Below are 18347 nucleotides of genomic sequence, written 5' to 3'. Positions count from 1 at the left end.
CAGCATGGGTACTTGGCTCTTAGCAGAATAACTAGACAGGACACTAGGGAAAACCTGAGTCATCCCCTCACCACCTCCAGGCCTTGAACTGCCAGGGCTTGTGGCCAAGAGTGCCCACCAGAGGAGGGGTTGGAAGATGAACTTCCCACCTCACCCCCTCCTGCCCCTCCGTACACTCCCAAGTGGAAATGAAAGCACCCCTGGAGTTAGCAGGACCTCATGGCATAGACCTATCATGGCCAGAGAGCTCTCTTTGGAGCCACCCTCTACCCCAAGAGTGGACATGAGCCCCAGCCCCTCTTGAACAGGATAGGGCAGTGGTTAGGAGAATGGGTTGGGGACCACCAGGCCCAAGCTCTGCTCTTCCCCCAGCGGCCCTTAGTTGAGTCTCCATTTCCTACTCTGCAGTGGCAACCACACTGTGGATTGATGGAGAGACCAAGGAGAGATGTGATGAGGGCAGAGCACCGTCCCAAGCCCGAGCAGGCTCCCAGTTATCCCTAGAGGTGGCCATGGTGCTGTGACAAACTCTGGCCTTGGCCCATCGAGGTCATCTCAGGGGCCTACTTGAGATTTCCAAACTATGGATATCAGAACTGAGTTAGCTGCCGAGTAGGAAAAAATCCGTGCTGGCCTCCACCATATGCCTCCTCCCATTGCCTGCTCCTCACACCACCATACACACACTGTGCAGTCCCCACCACCAGCTGCTTCAGAGCAGCCAGGTGAGGGAGGTGATATTCACAGCCTGTGATCAAAAGGGCATTTCTGCACCCAAGCCTCAGGAGAGTCCACAGTGATGTCCCGAAACCCTCTGACCCTCCCAGGGAGAGAACTCCACTAGACAGACAGGAAATGGGGCATGGGGCTCCAGCACCCACACCCAGCCAGGTCACTGCAGTGACCACAGAGGCCTCAGCAGCAGCTGCCACCCCTCGGACTTTCAGCTCTCAGGTAACACCCTCCCTTTCCATTTCTGTTTCCTCAGGTTTGTCTCTAAAAAGGTATTTTATCACTTGACGGTTGATCGGCCTGTGATCTACGATGGAAGTGATTTCCTGTAGCTTCAGCACCTCAGTAACTTCACTTCATCCACAGGAAACACTGCTCTTCCTCACCTGTCACATAAAGCATTTTTTTAAAAAGTCAGCTGCTCCAAAATCATCAACTCAGCCCCTGGGCTGCCCCTCAGAGGCGGTGTCTGGGGAGGACTTTGTGCTCAGCACTCTGCACCGGCCACTCTTAGCCCCCGAGGCGTTGAAGGGCTCAGGCAATGTTTCCATTAAGTAGAGACTCAGCTGTTGTCACACCCAAAGGGATGCTCTGCCAAAGGTTTAAACACCCAGGAGACCATCAGCCTCTCCTGGGAGCACAGTTGGCTACAGGCCTCTTGTGGAGAGTTTCACGGGCAGGGGTGATTCCAACTTCTGCCTGTGGAGAGATTTTCTGCCCTGCCCCACCAGGGCCCTGCATGTTGGAGACTGAGCTGGGTGCACTGGCCATGCCCTGTGAATCCTCAGGCTGTGACGCCCTCAGGTACTCCTGGGAAAAGGAGGTACACAGCCATCATGCGAGTCGGTGCCAGGGGACCCCCCGGAGATCCTGACCAGCTCCTCCAGTCATGCTCTTGTCCCTCACTGCCCCAGTAAGCTGGAGGCTGCTCCAGAACTCAGCAGTGTTGGAGGGGCCTCTAAGCTGCACTCTCTTTCTGGCCCTTTTGTCTGGGTGATTCTGTCCTCAAATAAAGCCCTTCACTCAGCCAGACCTCTCCACAGCTCAAAGCATTGCCCTAAGAATCAGAAGTAAAGATAATCCAAGAGCAAAACCCACTGTACTTGGGGCCTGCAATGGCTGTGTGTACACTACATCTAATGCCCAAATGCCAGCCAGTGTGGATGTTGTGACCACAGAGCAGGATTGTGCATTGGCTTTAGAGCTACTCCTCAGCTGATGGCCCACTTTTGTTTATATAAATAAGAGCTTCTGCCCCACCTGCAGACATGTTTACTAATGATCATAGCCAGGATTAGAACCACTTTCAAACATTGGGGCCTTCTTAACAAAAGTCTTTGATAACTTAAGAACCAAAGTAACAGAGTAAACAGAGGCATGATGGATCCCTGGGCCCCACTCCCCTCCTGACAGGTTCCCCAACAGCCCATTTGCCCACTTCCCACTGCTCAGCCCACACCAGACCTCCAGGAGACATCCCCCCTTGAGGCAGAGAGATCCTGTTCCCTATTCCCAGACAAGAATTATTTAATCTTCCCTGTTCTCTGTGGTCCTTTTCTTCCCCAACAACAGATAGCTCACCTTGGACAGCTCTTCGTCCCTTGTTCATGGAACCAGCTGCCTGCAGTCAGGCCCCAGGTTCTTCCATGGGTGAACAGAGCATCTGACAAAAGGTCCCAGTTTGGCCAGGGGTGAGGGAGAGAGCACCAGACAGGCTATCCGAGAATCTGAGAGCTGGGCCCGGCAGTTCCTCCAGCTACCCTTGTGACCTAAGTCCAGTCACACATTTCCCAAAGTTTCTCTTTGTCATAACCCTGGTCTGGCTGGTTTTGAGGGCTTGAGAATGGGTCAGGGACTCCAGGCCAAGTCCAACAGAGACCCCAAACCCACCACACACCAGCAGCCACAACCTCACCACCAACAAAGAGGACTTTTGTGGGGCCACAAGTAAGAGGTCATTTCTGGAATGGACTCAGACCTTTAAACAGGAGAGTTGAGCACTTCCAGTCAGTTTTTAAGCAAGGCATGGGGAACAGGGAATAGAACCTTTCAAAGAGGTTGCCCAGAGAAAAGCTGGGCCTCTTGCATTCGGCTTCCTTGGAGCAGCCTCTTCTGGCAGAAAGCCATCAGGTGCTCAATCATCTTCTCCTGGCCAAGGCTCTGACCATGCTTAGTACTGGAATAGAGGTGGCCAGGCCCCCAGCGACTCTTCTTGGCCTGATGTTTGTCCTCACAGGCATGCCACGTGGCCTGAGATGATTCAGAACAAATCATGCTAACTTTGAATCCATCCAGCCACTTGCAAATGATAATCAGAAGTCAGCTTGTTCACTGTTAGAAAGAAACTAACAAAAGAGAACCCAGAGCAATCTAGAATCTTTGAGTGCTTGGCTTTCCAAGGATACTGCGGAGACTCTGGCCAAGCTGATGACCTTCTGAAGTGTCACTGGCACCATATGCAACAAGAACCACCATTCACTGAGTAGCTAATGGGTTTGGGGCCTGGGACATTCCATCTGAGGTCCTTCCTGAACATGTCACTCCACAGCAGAGGACCGGTTGCAGCTTACCCAGAACCACTCCTCCAGGAGAGCTGGATGTTTTGCGTGCAACACCTTGAGCACTGACTGCTATTGTTCAAAAAAAGCCTTTGCTGCATTCGGAGGACTGCCCCGTGCCCTGAGGTGACTTCCTAACTATGTGGTTTCATTAGCGAATTTATTTTTTGTGCTGGGTGGACATTTGTATTTTGTTAGGTTGCTGTTTAAGCTCAAGTTTGCTGTGCTCTCTGCAGCTACAAAACATCTTGGCATATTTAAGAGTGGCTTTTATAAATAGCTTTATTCTGATATTAATCAGATTCCCAACTTTACTGAGAATTAAGGACTGGGGTACTTTAAAGAAATGCAAATAGCAATTGAAGAACCACTGCTGCAGGTGGTAGCCCTGGCTAGACTGAATTACACTAGAAATCAGCCAGAAGGAAGCGTCCTTGGGATCCCAGATCACTCTTTTTTTTTTTTTTTAAAAGGGGCAGCCCCTTGATGGCTCATCTCTCTGAATAACAGTTACGTCTTCATATCGATACCAGATGCCTTCTTCATCATGCCACTGAAGCCACTCACCACCTTCAAGAACATGCCAACCTCTGTCAGATTCACTTACCCACAAACAAGGAGGCACGTTTGGCACAAAGTGTTGTCCTCCAGGTCCAAGTGGACTCTACAGAGTGCTTGACCTCAACACACTGGATTCCAGGTGGACTGGACCAAGAGCAGGCAAAGACACGGGAACTGAAAAACTCCACAGGGTTTGGAGAATAGAAATGAAAAGCCACGTCATATAACTCAAGAATAAATGGTGTTTTGGAAATTTTAAAATTATCATCGAAGGTGGTGAAACTATTTCAGGCCCAAATGAAAGGAAATCGCCAGTTGGGGATGAAATCACAGAGCCTGTGTTTTATGATATGGTTGGATGTCCACTGATGAAATTTTAAAGGAGTTTCAGTTTTAAAAGTGCGCATGATTCTACATATGAGAATTCTTTAGGCCAAGAAACTGTCCTTGGCTCAGAGGTGTTGGGAATTAAAGCAGAGAGAAGCCATTCGTGATGCTTAGAACCAAGGATGGTCATGTACACAAAGACCATCGAGACGGCCATTCTTGTTTACAAAACACTTACCAAGAAAGCACTTTGTAGGGGAACTTTAGTAAGTTCTTCTCATTTCATTATGTTTCTTCCAAGGAAACAGGAGAGACTGAATTAATAATTCTCTCTTTCCTCTTAAGCACTTTTAAAATAATAAAGTACATCTTGAAATTTGGGGAGGCATCTCTGATTTAAAAAAAGAAAAAGGCTGCTTGATGTATGTTATGCAGAGACACTCTGCCTCTGGTGGCTGCAGAGCAATACCCAAGCCTCATTTGGAAGGCTCAACATTTGGAATTGCACTTTAATTGATTAATCCTCAATTCATGTGGCCTTACGGGATGGTGGGTCTGGGACCCCAATTCATTCTTATCTGCCAAAGAATTATCTAGAAGCACATCAAATACCAGCACCCCACCTGCTCAATGGGGGTGGAAAACTTTTGTATCCCTAAGCATATTATTTTATAGTGTCTGCCATGCCATGTGGAAATACTTTATTTTTAACCTCAGGATTTAAATAAAGTAAACACTATGACATTTAGACATTTGTCTCTCATTTTTTTGGGACATAAAGTGCACCACGAAGTTATACAGAGCTGAGTTGGGGTTGAGCTGTGCTGCTGGGAAATAGAGCATCTTTTATGGTGGCTTTTCAGGAGGACTTGAGCCAGCAGATGTTCTGGGAAGTTTCCAGGTGGCCTGGCACCTGGCTGCTTCCTGGCCTGCTGTGAGGGTGGTGTTTAGACCTGCCTGAGACAGCCTGTCTTTCAATCCATGCTGTTGTGCCCTATGGGCTTCTAGCCTCAGCTCAAATGTCCAGATCTCCCAGGGCACCCACAGAGCATGTTGAGCAAAGAGCAGACTTCTGAGTTTACCGGAACAATGGGGCTGGGGAGAAGCATCATGGATGGCCTAAAACCATGATTGGTCAATATGAGGTACAAAGCTGGGCAAGACTGCCAGGCTGAGATGGCTGGCAGAGGAAGAAGTCAGCCCTCCCATTCCCGCATACCTTTCTCTGGCTGGGTCAGCAAAGAGCCTGGACAGAGGCCCAGAGGGGCATGCCCTGGTCACTGCTGGATGTTGGACTGAGCTCAGGCTGGGCAGCCCACCCACACTCACCTCACACCCCCACTCCAGGGATGACCAGGGCTCTGTCCCTGCAGTGCTCTGCACCTCAAAAGAACACCTCCCCACACCACCCCTTCACCGCCCTTCCTCCGCCAGCCCTCTCCTGCTGCCAGACTTTCGTTTGGCCTCTTCTTTAATCTGTTACTCCATGGAAGAAGTCACATTTTCTGTAACTCTGGTTCTCTCCCAAGGATAAAAGACAGTGAATCCTTCATCTTTATCTTCATCTCCCTCCTCCCTTCTCTCCCCACCGCAGCATCGAGCAACATGCCAGGCAGGAAGGGACTCAAAAAATACTGAATTGACCTCTCGGGTCAGTCCCAGTGCCCTGGGTCGCCAAAAAGTCATCAGCATTCCCACTGGCGACTAACTCTGCCAGGAATAGAGGCTCCTGAAACACTCCGGTGGCAGAGGAGGGAAAGGGTGGGCCTGCAGGAGGAGATACAGGCAATGATAGCTGGTCACTCAGTCCCACCCCCTGCACCCCCTCTTATGTCAAAGATGCCCTTGGGCTGGGCGCAGTGGCTCACGCCTGTAATCCCAACACTTTGGGAGTCCAAGGCAGGAGGATTGCTTGAGCCCAGGGGTTCAAGACCACCTGGGCAACACAGTGAGACCCCGTCTCTACATTTTTTTTTCTTTAATTAGCCAGGTGTGGTAGTGCATGTCTATAGTCCCAACTCAGTAGAGGCTGCAGTGAGCCAAGATCATGCCACTCCACGAGTGACAGAGTGAGGCCCTGTCTCAAAAAAATAAAAAGGTACCCTCAGATCAAGTATCTATCTAGTAACCAGATTGCAGTAATGGCAGATAGTTACTCCACCTGCCCCAAATGACAGAGCCAGAGAGTTTCTTTGTTAATACAACAGTCCTTCCTGAGGCTTGGGGGCCTCATGGGCTGGGGGCTAGAACAAGAAACAGTTGAGACATACATATATGTGTGTGCTGTGCATCTGGGGCTGGGATCTGGGGACCTCCAGGTCAAAATCCTCCATTCCACCTCACCCCACCCTGCTAAACTGCAGAATAACTCAAGATGACCCAAGTCTTTGCTGGAGGGTTTCCAAGCCCCACGCTTGATTCCAGGTAATCCGGGCCCAGTTCAGTGTTCACAGGCTCTGTGGCACAAAGAGGTGCCCCGCCCCTCCCTGCCACTCTGCCGGGTGAGGGCTGAGGATGCAGAGACTCCTGGGTGACTCAGAAGGCTCCTCACAGCAAGGTCAGCCCTTTCAGTTTGAAGACGCGTGGGAAAAATCTCCTCTTGCCACCCACACACATCTGAAGAGCAAACAGATGGTGAAACCAGTAGCCCAAGATGAGAAAACGGACTTTTTTTGAGACAGCAGTTGAAGCTGAAGCCTCAAAAGCCGGGCGGGGGGAAAGCATAGCAATTATGAAAGACATTCAAAGTGGGTTAGGGGTGAGGGAAAGGTCAGCCTTTTACTTTTCCCACACCCGCTGTTTTCTGAAGAAGGATGGTAATGCGAGCAGAAGGGTGATGGCCAACCTCTGGGCTTTGATGTGTGTCCCCTCCTCCCGCCCCCATCCTGCAAGCTCTGGGGAGGTCGGAGACTAGTGTGGTTTCCTCACACCTCCCACCATGCTGGCACTGAGGTTATCTAAGAGTTGACAGCCCCATCTAAAGCCTTGAATGAATTAAGTCTTTTTTAGCTAAAAAATGAACAAAACCTGAGATGCATGAGTGTCCTTACCAAAAGGAAGTCCTTGTTTCTAGGACAGGTCTGTCTTCGGGCCTGTGGGTCCATAGAATCATCACAGAAAAAATGATTTCAGGAGGTCTCCCCCGCTTTCTGCTCCCAAGGCCGACTCTGACTGAGCCTCGGAGGAGAGAAGGAAGCCATTTCTGGGAGGCCAAAACGTCCGTCTTCCAGGTCAGTGGGGCAGGTGCTGTCTTCTCCCTGGCTTGAGAGAGGAAAGCTGGTGAGGGAGAAGGGTGGGGCGGAGGTGGGCGGTGCGGGGATAAAAGATCGGAGAGCAAAGCAGTGATGAGAAAAGAGGGGTAACAGAAAGGGCCTCCCTAAAGGCTGCAAGGAGGGCTGGACCCAGGGCTGCTTAGCAGAAGCCATCTTTCTCATTGGAAGAAAGGGGCAGTGAGAAATGACGGTGTCGGTGTGGCTGAAGCTGCCCCATGCATCTGGTGGAGGCAGCACTTTAATGTAAGGAAGCCTGGACCATTGAGGGAACAGACACCAAAGGCAGTGACTGCTGATGTGGAAAGACAAGCCGGTTTGTTCCTCTGCCTCAGAGGTGGCTTCAGGGCCCTGCAAGCTTTCACAAACAGGGCCCTGCATGCTTTCACAAGCAGCAGGGGCAGCAGCCTCAGTCCAGTCCTCCCACGACGCTTGTGAATGAGCGACAGGGTTCCTATGTGGAACCCAAGGTCTTGGAAGAGGCAGCTCCTCTGCACCAGCAGGGACGCCACCCAGCTGTTGGGTGGTCTCAGAAAGAGGACCACACATTCATGCCCTGAAGGTGACCAGTGGAAGAAGGACAAGGAGACCAGAACTGGTCCTGGATCAGGCCCCCATCTTCTTTGGTTATGAAAGTTTCAGGTATTGAGCCATCAGGAAAAGCCCAAGACTCACCCAGGGCTCAGTTTTGCTCCAGAGTCAACTGTTCATTTATTAGGTGTCAGTAAATAAAAGGAAGTTGCAGAGAGATTCTTAGGAGAAGGTTCTCTTGCTTTAGTTACCTGAAGGCATATTAAAATGCAGATCCAGCCAGGTGTGGTGGCTCATGCCTATAATCCCAGCATTTTGGGTGGCCGAGGCAGGAGGATCACTTGAGGCCAGGAGTTCAAGGCCAACCTGCATAACATAGGGAGACCCCGTCTCTACCAAAAAAAATTCAAATATTAGCCAGGCGCCTCTAGTCCCAGCCACTGGGGAGGCTGAGGTGGCAGAATCCCTTAAGCCTGGGAGTTTGAGGCTGCAACTGTGATTGCCCCACTGCACTCCAGCCTGGGGGACAGAGTGAGACCCTGTCTCAAAAAAAAAAAAAAAAATGCAGATCCATGGGCACCACCCATTCCAATTCTGGTTCATCAGGTCTGGTCCATTCACAGGTCCTCCAGGTGATGCTGGAGCAGGTGGTCCTGGTGAACGTTGCTGTGTCACCACTGTTTTGATTAGAATTTGAGGAAAGGAGGAAATGAACTAATTGATCTGTCTCCTAATTTAACTCTACCTGTGATCCTTGAATCTTGGAACCAGGCCGTCTTCCTCAAATCCATTAGCCCAAGCACTAGGGCGCAATGATGGAAATTTCAGTCTTGGAGAGGAGGATGTTTCTAAATGAATCCCCTGGTATAAAACTATTCTAAGGGTAAAATAGTTTACAACCATAACTTTTTTATGGCTTATATTTTTATTCAAGGGTTCTGGTGCCAACTGGCAGATCATTTCTGAGTGGAAAAACATCCCCTTCCCCAAATCCAGAAGAGTTCCATACATGTCCAAATTTTAAGAAATGGAGAAAGTATCCAGGGGGTATGCGTTGGGGAGGTCAGTTTAGGAGGGAGTTCCTAAGCTGGTCGGTACACAGAATCAAAGGTCTTTGAAAATGGGTGGGGGAAAAAATGGCATCTTTACCCTAACTACTAATTAAAATTTAAGTCTTCCTTCAATTATGACTAGAGACAACATGCCACACTAGTACTAGCTAGACCTGTCACTTTGTCACCAGTAGAAATGGCAGATATTTTTGTATTACATGACAATTTCTGCAGACTCTCAAAGTATCATTTATGTTTATCTCCACTCGGAAATGAAGGTTGTCATTAGATCTGATAGATTTTATGTAATGCATTAGTAAAAAGACACATATATTACTAGTTCATATATCTGCTTTAATATTTGGAGAATTGTGTTTCAATTTAATTGGTTTGTAATTCTATTTTATTGTTTGCATTTTAAAGCATTCTGAGAAAGGGGCTATAGGCTTTGTCAGATTGTCAAAGGTGTGGATGAGGCCAAAAAAAAAAAAAAGTTAAGGATCTTTAGGTTGTGGCAGGTCCTCATGAAAAACAAGAGAAAGATCAGCTCATTGCAGCACTGGTTTGTTAATAGTAACAATAGTAGCATTGTTTAATTTGTGTAATTGTATAATTTTCTAGGCTCTTGCTGTAAGTCAGCCCACTTTTACAGATGAGGAACCAAGACCCAGGGAAGATGGTAAGTCTGAACCATTTACAGAACATATTACTGCTACTGCGTTATGCTGAGACAGCTGTAGGAGTGGTTTTCTCTAAACCATTCTCATTTTACTTGAATTTAGATTATCTGATGACTTATAAAAAGCTTTTCCATAAACCAGGATTTGCTATGGCAGCCCTTGACCTTCAGACCTTTATTATGATTGTTAATACAAAAGGCTGTATCAGTTACCTGTTGTCAGACCAAGCTGCATTATTCTGCGTTATTTGAAGTTGGATAACCTCAAAACCGTGGCTTAAATCACTGAAGATTTATTTTGCTCACGAATATGCAGGTTGACTGGGGGCTCTGGACTCTTGGTGGGCTCACTCCCTTGTCTGCCCGTGGTCAGCTACGCATTGAGGCTGTGCTCCCACATGTCTGAGGGTTGGCTGCTCATTGGCTAATCGTGGCTGGGGTTGACTCCTACATCTGTGGTCAGTTGGTCAAAGAAAGGCTGGCTAGGCTAGGATGGTCTTGGCCAGACAACTTGGCTGTACTCCATGTGGTCTCCCTGACCCCAACAGGATAGCCTGGGCTTATTCAGATGGCCACTGAGCAGGTTTCCAAGAGAGTGAGTAAAAGTGCCCGAGCTTCGCAAAGCCCAGTCTCAGACCTGGCACATCATTTCAACAGTGTTCTGTTGGTCAGAGCAAGTCACAGGCCAGCCCAGATTCCAGGTGTGGGAAAAGGGACTCCTCTGGATGGGAGGAACTGCAAAGTCACTTTATAAAGGGCACAGGGACAGTGAGGGGTAGAGAATTGGGACCATTTTTGTAATATTTCTACCAAAGAGTCTATAATCTTCCCTTCTTGCACATATTTCCACCTCAATTTTCATCTTCAGTAAAACACCCACCTTCTCCTCCAGATACACTCATACAAGTACGCAAAAACACACGCAACAATCTTCATGGCCACAATGTCTGTGATAGCAAAAAACAGGAAAGGATTTGTTCAAAGTGGGTTGGATTGAAGCAGTATATGACGGCACCCTGGGAGACTATGTGACGAACACTATTCACACCCATGCGACATTTCCTGACAAAGACGCTGGACACAGCAGTGGCTGCCTTGGCAGATGGAGCTGGTGGGGCTTTGGAGTTGGTGGCAGGAATAAGATGCTTTTACTTTTCTCTTTATACTTTTCTATGTCGTTTGAAGTATTTTTAGTAGGTGCCAGTTTAACTTTTAAAATGCGAAAACTAATTTCTAAAAAGACATTCACATCATCTTACGGCCATCTCAAATTCCCAGTAAAAAACCAAATGCCCAATTCCTATATGCTGGAGTCATTACACAGTTGTTGATGTCTTTCTGCATTCACCAAAGGGGTGACCTACTTACCAGCAAAGCTGAACGGCATAAAGCCATGAGCGGGGAGGGCCTGGGAGGAAGCCACAATATGGCCAGAGTTCCTCTTCCCCTGCCTAGGGGCTGGCCCAGCTAGGGCCCCCTGTCCTCCTGACTCAGGGCCTTTGTGAGAAGAGCTATATCCAGATCATATGGTGCAAACTGACCACTGGAACATCAGTGCTTGAACTTCAACTGGGGAGAAAGTACAACAGCCTCTAAGAGATTGGGTTCTAGAATCAGAAAGACGTGGATCCAACTCCTAGTGCCACTACCTACTTCCTCTGGCTTGGGACAAGTCACTTAGCTACTCTGTGCCTCAAAATGTGATAGCTGTTATCATTGAGAAAGACATCCACACCTTGTCCAATCCCTTTTACTCTCTTGGCTCTTTTGATTACTTCTGGGCATTAGTCAGCTAGTCAAGTTGGGGGACCGAGTGATTGGGATCATTGAAAGATGAGTTAATTTACAGAGTAGCCACCTTTGGTGATTTTAAAATATGGCCCTAGAGTTATTTGACACCCTTCCAATAAGAGGTGGAGTCTCGAGTCCCTTGACTCCGGGCTGGCCTCTGGCTGCTCTGACCAGTGGAAGAGCAGAGGGACACTGTGTGGCTTCCGGTGCCATGTCAGAAAAGGACCTGCAACTTCCCCTTGGTTCTCTTGCACAGGGGAAGCCAGCTGCCATGTAAAAGGTCTGAGTACCTTGAGCCCTCCCTGCTGAAGCTGCCGTGTGCTGGGGCCCTGCATGGCAGCCAGCATCAACTACTGGCCCTAAGCCAGTAGTTAAGCTTTCCAGTTAAGCTTTCCAGTGGCCACAGCCCCAGCCAATATCTAACTGCAGCCACATGAGAGACCCCAAGCTAAATATGCCCTGCTGAGCCCCTTCCAAATTCCCGGCTCACAAAATGGCGAATAAAATAAAATGGTTATTGTTTTTATACCACTAAATTTTGTGGCAACAGTTACCAGGACACAGCTGAATTGAATACAAGCAAGGTTCTTAGAATCACTTCTTTCATTTAATTGCAAATGAACCCAAAAGAGATCCATTTACATTTTTTTGTTGTTTTATTGGATTACTCCTGATACTTTATCATAGCAAACCTGACACAAGTTTCACCTACACATCCTCTTTCCACATCCTCACTTCCCATTGATTTGCTCCTCAGCCAATCACAGTCTGCCTTGTTGATGCCTGGGAAGCTGCTCCTAGCCAGGTCGCTGCCAGCCTCCACTCTCTCTTGACCTCAGCTCTTCCCATGCTCATGGCTACCATCTTCCGGGTAGCATCCCCAGACTTGCTCTCTGCTGATCCTCCCCTCCCAGGGGCAGCACCACCAACCACCCAAACGTGCAGATTCAAAACCCAAGTCATCCTTGATGCCTTCCTTTCTTTCAATTCTAATCTTCACCATTGTGTCTACCCCCAGAGTAAGTCAAAAGCCATCCATCTCTCTACACCACAACCACCACCGTCACTCCAACTCCGCCACCACCATCTTTTTCCTGAACAACTGCAACAGCTCCTGACTGGCATCCCTGCTTCCTTGCACCACCCCTAACCCCCAGCCACCACCCTTCTTCTCCTGGGGGCTTTAGAGATCTTTAAAACATGAATTGGATCATGCCACACCCCACTTAAAAATCTTCCTGAAGTGGAATAAATCAAAATTCATCATCTGCGCCTGAACAGTGCCCCTACCTTCCTCTCCTCTCTGACTTCCCTCTCACTCATAACCCTCCAATCACCAATGGCTCTTCTTTTAGCCACTTAACTCTGCTGATCACTTTCCTGTCTCAGAGCCACCTGTGAGAATTAGGGGTGATGGTCCCACCTTGTCTCAGGCAACATCAGTTTTCCTGTGGTCCTTAGAAACTTCCTGGTTTCCAAAAGTTGAACAAGAGAAACCCTGGAGCTCACTGCGGCCTTTATCAGCCTCTGTAGAGCATTCTGAGCCACCTGGAGATTACCCCCCTGAGAAAGTGCCACCCACGGCGTGAGGCCTTTCCGAGCTTGCTGCTCTATCCCCAGGGGACTCCGTCCCTCCTTCGGTTCCTTTGTTGAGTGGTGGCCTAACCACACAGAGGAAGAGTCCATCCAGTCTCCATTTCTTATTTTAATGTTTTAAAATTGTGATTTGGGGCTTTATAAGGATAAGAGCATGAGTTTTTAAGGGAATTGCATGATGTCTTGGATTTTCTTTAAAATACTACAGCAAACTTGTTTTTAAAAGGAAGAAGGTAAGGAAGGAAAAAGAAGGAAGGGAGCAGATGAAACAAAGAAGAGGAAAGGAAAGAAAAGTGGGAAGTGTAGCTGAAACCAAAAATGGACAGAATGTTAATCATTATTGAAGTTGGGTGAGGGGTATGTGCATCTTCATTATACCAGCGGTCCCCAACCTTTTTGACACCAGGGACCAGTTTTGTGGAAGACAGTTTTTCCATGGACCTGCAGCATTGGTGGAGAGGTGATTTTGGGATGATTCAAGCATGTTACATCTATTGTGCACTTTATTTAATTATTATTACATTGTAATGTATAATGAGATAATTATACAACTCGCCATAATGTAGAATCAGTGGGAAGCCTGAGCTTGTTTTCCTGCAACTAGACGATCTCATCGGGGTAATGGGAGACAGTGACAGATCACCAGGCATTAGATTCTCATAGGGAGTGCACAGTCTAGATCCTTTGCATGTTCACAATAGGTTTGTGCTCCTGTAAGAATCTAATGCCGCCACTGATATGACAGTTGGCGAAGCTCAGGCGGTGATGCAGGCGATGGGGAGCAGCTATAAATACAGACGAAGCTTCACTCACTTGCCTGCCACTCACCTCCTCCTGTGCAGCCTGGTTCCTAACAGGCCACAGAGCAGTAGTGGTCTGTGGCCCAGGGGTTGGGGACCCCTGCATTAATACTATTCCCTCTGCTTTTGTGTATGTTTTTAAATTTCTGTAATTAAAAAGTTTAAAAAGAAAAGAACATGAGTGGAGAAGTCCTAAACCAATTGCATGCATGGACACTTCACCAGAGAGTTGACAGTGATGTCCCACAGGCATGAGTGGTGCGGGGCCTTGGCACACACCGCCCTCCTCCCCTTTCTCCCCTGCTTCCTGTAGGTCATTCCTGTCCATTCTTCAGCTCTCAGCTCAAACGCTACCTCCTCAGGGACGCCTTCCCTGGCTCCCCTTTCCAGAGCAGATCAGAGTCCCCTGTCACACTCTCTAGCTTCCTGTACTGATAACCATCAGCTTGTTCCTGTGATGGTGTGACTTGGGTCTGTGATTGTGAGTTTCATGAGCACCACGCCTGTGTCTGCCGTTGCTCACCACCTTGCCCAGTGCTTAGCATGTACTAAATGCTCAATAAATGTTGAATGAGGCTAATTACAGCAACAGTTGAAATGCTGGGCCTACTTGTGGCCTCTCCAGCACGGTGGTCTCAGGGTGGGCAGCCTTCTGACACGGCAGCTTAGGGTTTCCAGAGCAAGCCTCCCACGGCACAGGATGTGGAAGCTGCCAGCCTCTTCTTCTGAGTCTGCACCCAGAAACTGGCACAGCATCCCTTGCACCAAATTCCACTGTTCAAGCAAACCCAGAGCCCACCCAGATTCAAGGAGAGGGGACATCAACCCCATGTTTTGATGGGAGGAGCATCAAAGAAACTGTTGCTCCTTTCTCCCCTGCTTCCTATAGGTCATCCTTAATCCACCCAGCTGACTCACTGTCTGCAGCTGTTCAGAGTTCAGTCCCTGTCTTTCTTGCCTAACTCTCCAAGTCTCCAAACATTTTCCATTGCTGTAGCTCTTTCTGGCCTCAAAGACTGTCATAACATCATGCAAATGCTAGAGACGCAGCTCTCATTCTGGGCACTGTACCTGTTGCTGGGCAGACACACGTGAGCAAGAACACGCACAGTCCGTGGCTGCTTGTTGCTGAGGGTCCAAACATAGGAGTCAGAGGATCAATCAGTAGGAAGAAGAATACTAGCGAATTACAAATGAGAGGAGTGCTGTGAAGGAAAGGGACAAGCAGTGTGCCACACAGGAGGATAACCGGGCTCTAACTGTCACTCTGGGACTTTGCCACGTCATCTTGCCATGCCCACGCAGCGAGCCACATCAGCAATTGCCATAGTACCTTTTAATACGAGAAGGGACGCTTCGGCCAGCTCTTGACTGAGGGTTGTTTACACTGTTTAGAAATTTCCAGATGACACAATTCAGATGTGCTTGAAATGTGTATTTGAGGTCTAGAAAGTGGAGAGTCTGCAGAAGGATGCTGCAGCAGATGCAGGAAGAGACAGGTTCCTTGAAGCACCTACCTGGCCACAGAGCCTGGCCTGAGCGAGGGCCGCTGGTGGAGCAGGCACAGTGTTCGTCCAGGTGGTGAGGGGCAGGGCCATCATCAGGCCAGGGAATCCAGGCAGCAGCCACAGCTTTTCAGGAAAGCCTGGAGGGTGACTCCCAGAAGGAGATGCCAGTCCCTGGGCAGGGGAGGAGGCTTAGGGAAGCTCCTCAGATCTGAGCCTGGGGTCTGGTGAAAGCCCCAGCCCAGGGAGACCAGGGACTGGGGCCTAAGCCTGGCCACCTAGACCCAGAGAGGAAGAGCCAGGGCGGAAGCCAGCCCTGCAGACCACCGGCCATGGGCAGGATGGACAGAGCCAACCTGAGAGGTCTGCATGCCCCTTGAGATCATCTGACTGGCTGCAGAGGAGATCTGGGGCCACGTGGGGACAGCAGTGAGTAATGCCTGGATCCCGCACAGGGAATCTGACCTAAAGCCACATCTTGTACCAGGCCCAGGAAATTTATTCATCGGTCTTGCATCTGAGAGAGAGGAGCCAGGGATGGGAGAGGCAGGGGAATGGGGCAGGGAGAAGAGGAAAGCCAACAGCAGGAATTCTAAGGTTCAGACACATGCCTAGGCCCAGGTGTTTGGTCCTTGGACCTGCACACACACACCTCCGGTGAAATCTGTGGCTTCTTCATGAAGGAATTAAGGCTCCACAGCCATATGTGTGTGGGGAAGAGCCTGGGAGAGGTAGCAGCTAGGAACCTTCTCGATTCTGTGAAGATGACACCATTGTCCTTTGCCAGCACACCTTCATGGTGCACTTTTGAAGAAGGGAGTCAGCAGGGCCTTGGCTGTGGCATGTTACCATTTAGCATTTGCATGACATGGTCAGTGAGAGGAGTGCTGGCCAAACTCGTGCCTGTCCATCTTTTCAGTCCCTGGTCCTCAGCACAAAGTCTGGCTTGGCAAATGCTGGTCAACCCTCCAAAGCAAGGGCTGGTTTGTCTGACCATGTCAGACAAAGCCAATTACTAACTGCATGGGCTCAGATGAGTTACTTGGTATCTCTGAGGCTCAGCTCCTTCCTCTGTAAATCAGGGTTAGCAATGGTGCTCAAAATTCTGGGAGGTATCGTGGCTGTCTTATACACCATGGGGCCCCTGGCATGCAGCTGGTGCCCAAGCATATCTGCTGAATGCTTAGGTTATAATGAGACAGGACCCATGCTCTCAGCCTTCTCAGAGGAGTTCTGTGACTGGCGCCCAACCACACTATGGATCTCCTGCATACCCAGTGTTCTTACCCATCCAGCCTTAGGTGGGCTCTTGGAATTGGCAGCCCCTGGTGAGAAAATTGTTGCAGGACGACTTCTCTAGGAGGTACTGAGCTGGAGTTTGGGGTGCAAGGTGTTTATTAGGAATCAATGCCTTTGGAGGGATGTGAGAGGAAGCATGATTGGGCAGAGAGAGAACTCAAACTGCCATGAAGGCTTCACAAAGCCCTGGCTTTGGAGAGTCGACCAGCATTTGCCAAGCCAGATTTTGTTCTGAGGACCAGGGGCTAAAAAGACTGACAGGCACAAGGTTGGCCAGCACCCCTCTCACTGACCATGTCATGCAAATGCTAAATGGTGACGTGTGACAGCCAAGGCCCTGCTGATTCCCTTCTTCAAAAGTGCACCATGAGGGTGTGCTGGCAGAGTGCCCTGGAGTGGATTCTGCCCATCAGAGTGCCACCATCGGGCTGAGATGACGCTATTCTCTGTCTCACAGGCACCAGAGACAGGTGACCCTGGGAAGGCCTGGCTTGGGCAGGGCGGCTCTGCAGTGGAGGCGGGCCCTGAAGAACTGGCAACCAGAGGGCCTGTGCCGACCATACTCCCTACAAGTTCTTTCTTGAGGCATCTCCATATGACCATAGAGGTTTTTTGCTTAGCTTGTGGTGCCACAATTGAGCGTATACAAGTAAATATGTGGAGAGGACCTCATAAGGAATCACCTGTTGGAAAGACACATATTTGCATGTCATTTTTAGGCTTTGATAATATAAAAGTCAAAGAAAGACATTAAATGGGTCATTAGCTGTCTGGGTTGTCTGTTCTAATAATGTAGGAATGATTAGAGAACTAGCTCATTGTCCCAGGAGCATGTTGGATAGGGACCTCAACTGGAAGGGAGGAGCACATGAGATGGGGAGAGAGAGAGACTTTATTGCAGAAGCACTATGGTGTGTCTTGGCTGGGAGGGGAATTCTAAGGCTGTGGTACTTACTAACCACACACAGTGACTAAACAATCAGTGACTACTCGTTGAATGGAGAGAAAGATTTTTTTTGAGTATCTAAAACATGTCAGGTGCAGGTGCTGGAGCCCATGATTACTTCTCTTTTTTCAAAGTCACGGGGAGCCCCTGAACAGACCTCACATTGAGACAAGCTGTCCAATGTATAGGAGAAGAACCCTCCGGTGAAGCTGGAGTGGCCAACTTCAGTGAGGGACAGAGATCTGTGGGCACTGGAGCCAGGCTGGTGCTGGGGGATGATTTCGGCTGTGCTTTGTTCTGGACCCCACAAGAAGCTCCAGTTCTTGTGAGGCCAACTTAGAACTGGAAAGCCAAGCAAACCCACTCAAAGATGGCAAGCACAAAAGAACCATCTGGAAGTGTGAGACAGCTTTGCATTGATGAAGCAGAAAGACTGTGGTGGTCTCCAAAGGTGTCAACTCATGAATGCTTCACGAAAGCCTTGGCTTTGTATTCAAGTCAACACCATCACAGAAACCAAGATACCACCCATAATGGCCATACTGCAATGGCGATGGCCTGGGGGAAGGTCCACAAGACCAAAATGGAAGGAGCTCACTGTGGACTGCTTCCTTCCTTGCTCAGGACTCTCTGTAACAACTACAATGGGCAAAGAAGAAGTTATAGCCACTCAGCTCTCTCAGGAGCTGTGTCAGCTCTCT

At 49.0% G+C, this 18347-nt stretch overlaps 2 protein-coding genes across 23 annotated transcripts in view, besides 2 other annotated features; both read left to right on the top strand.

The window, feature by feature from the left end:
• FYCO1 (FYVE and coiled-coil domain autophagy adaptor 1) overlaps positions 1-4926 on the top strand; it is a 77922-nt gene extending 72996 nt beyond the window's left edge. For 7 of the 11 annotated variants that reach the window (NM_001386430.1, NM_001386426.1, NM_001386427.1 and 4 more), the window contains one exon: positions 989-4926. In NM_001386430.1, the coding sequence (NP_001373359.1) occupies positions 989-1064 (76 nt within the window). In that variant the 3' untranslated portion in view covers positions 1065-4926. The remainder of the gene's footprint in view (positions 1-988) is intronic. The other 4 variants (NR_170107.1, XM_047448902.1, NM_001386429.1 and 1 more) reach the window with 2 other exon arrangements.
• Positions 6361-7560: an enhancer, noted in NCBI's record as "MED14-independent group 3 enhancer chr3:45956761-45957960 (GRCh37/hg19 assembly coordinates)". NCBI's record gives its function as "activates an origin of replication core promoter dependent on BRD2, BRD4, P300/CBP and CDK7 cofactors, and independent of MED14, by STARR-seq in HCT116 cells {active_cell/tissue: HCT116}" and the evidence as "EXISTENCE:reporter gene assay evidence [ECO:0000049][PMID:35650434]".
• Positions 6652-6921: an enhancer, noted in NCBI's record as "active region_19786". NCBI's record gives its function as "activates an Ori minimal core promoter by ATAC-STARR-seq in GM12878 lymphoblastoid cells {active_cell/tissue: GM12878}" and the evidence as "EXISTENCE:reporter gene assay evidence [ECO:0000049][PMID:35858748]".
• Positions 7105-18347, top strand: part of LZTFL1 (leucine zipper transcription factor like 1) — a 92409-nt gene continuing 81166 nt past the window's right edge. For all 12 annotated transcript variants that reach the window (NR_170121.1, NM_001405925.1, NM_001405920.1 and 9 more), the window contains exons 1-2: positions 7105-7408; positions 9652-9709. Coding sequence is in view for 5 of the 12 variants with exons in the window: in NM_001405925.1 (NP_001392854.1) it covers positions 9683-9709 (27 nt within the window). In the remaining 7 variants the exon portion in view is untranslated. The remainder of the gene's footprint in view (positions 7409-9651; positions 9710-18347) is intronic.

This window comes from Homo sapiens, chromosome 3 (assembly GCF_000001405.40).
Source record: "Homo sapiens chromosome 3, GRCh38.p14 Primary Assembly".
In the NCBI taxonomy this organism is placed as follows: Eukaryota; Metazoa; Chordata; class Mammalia; order Primates; family Hominidae; genus Homo; species Homo sapiens.
The sequence above is the reverse complement of the archived record's forward strand: the minus strand, read 5'-3'. Positions and strand labels throughout refer to the sequence as shown.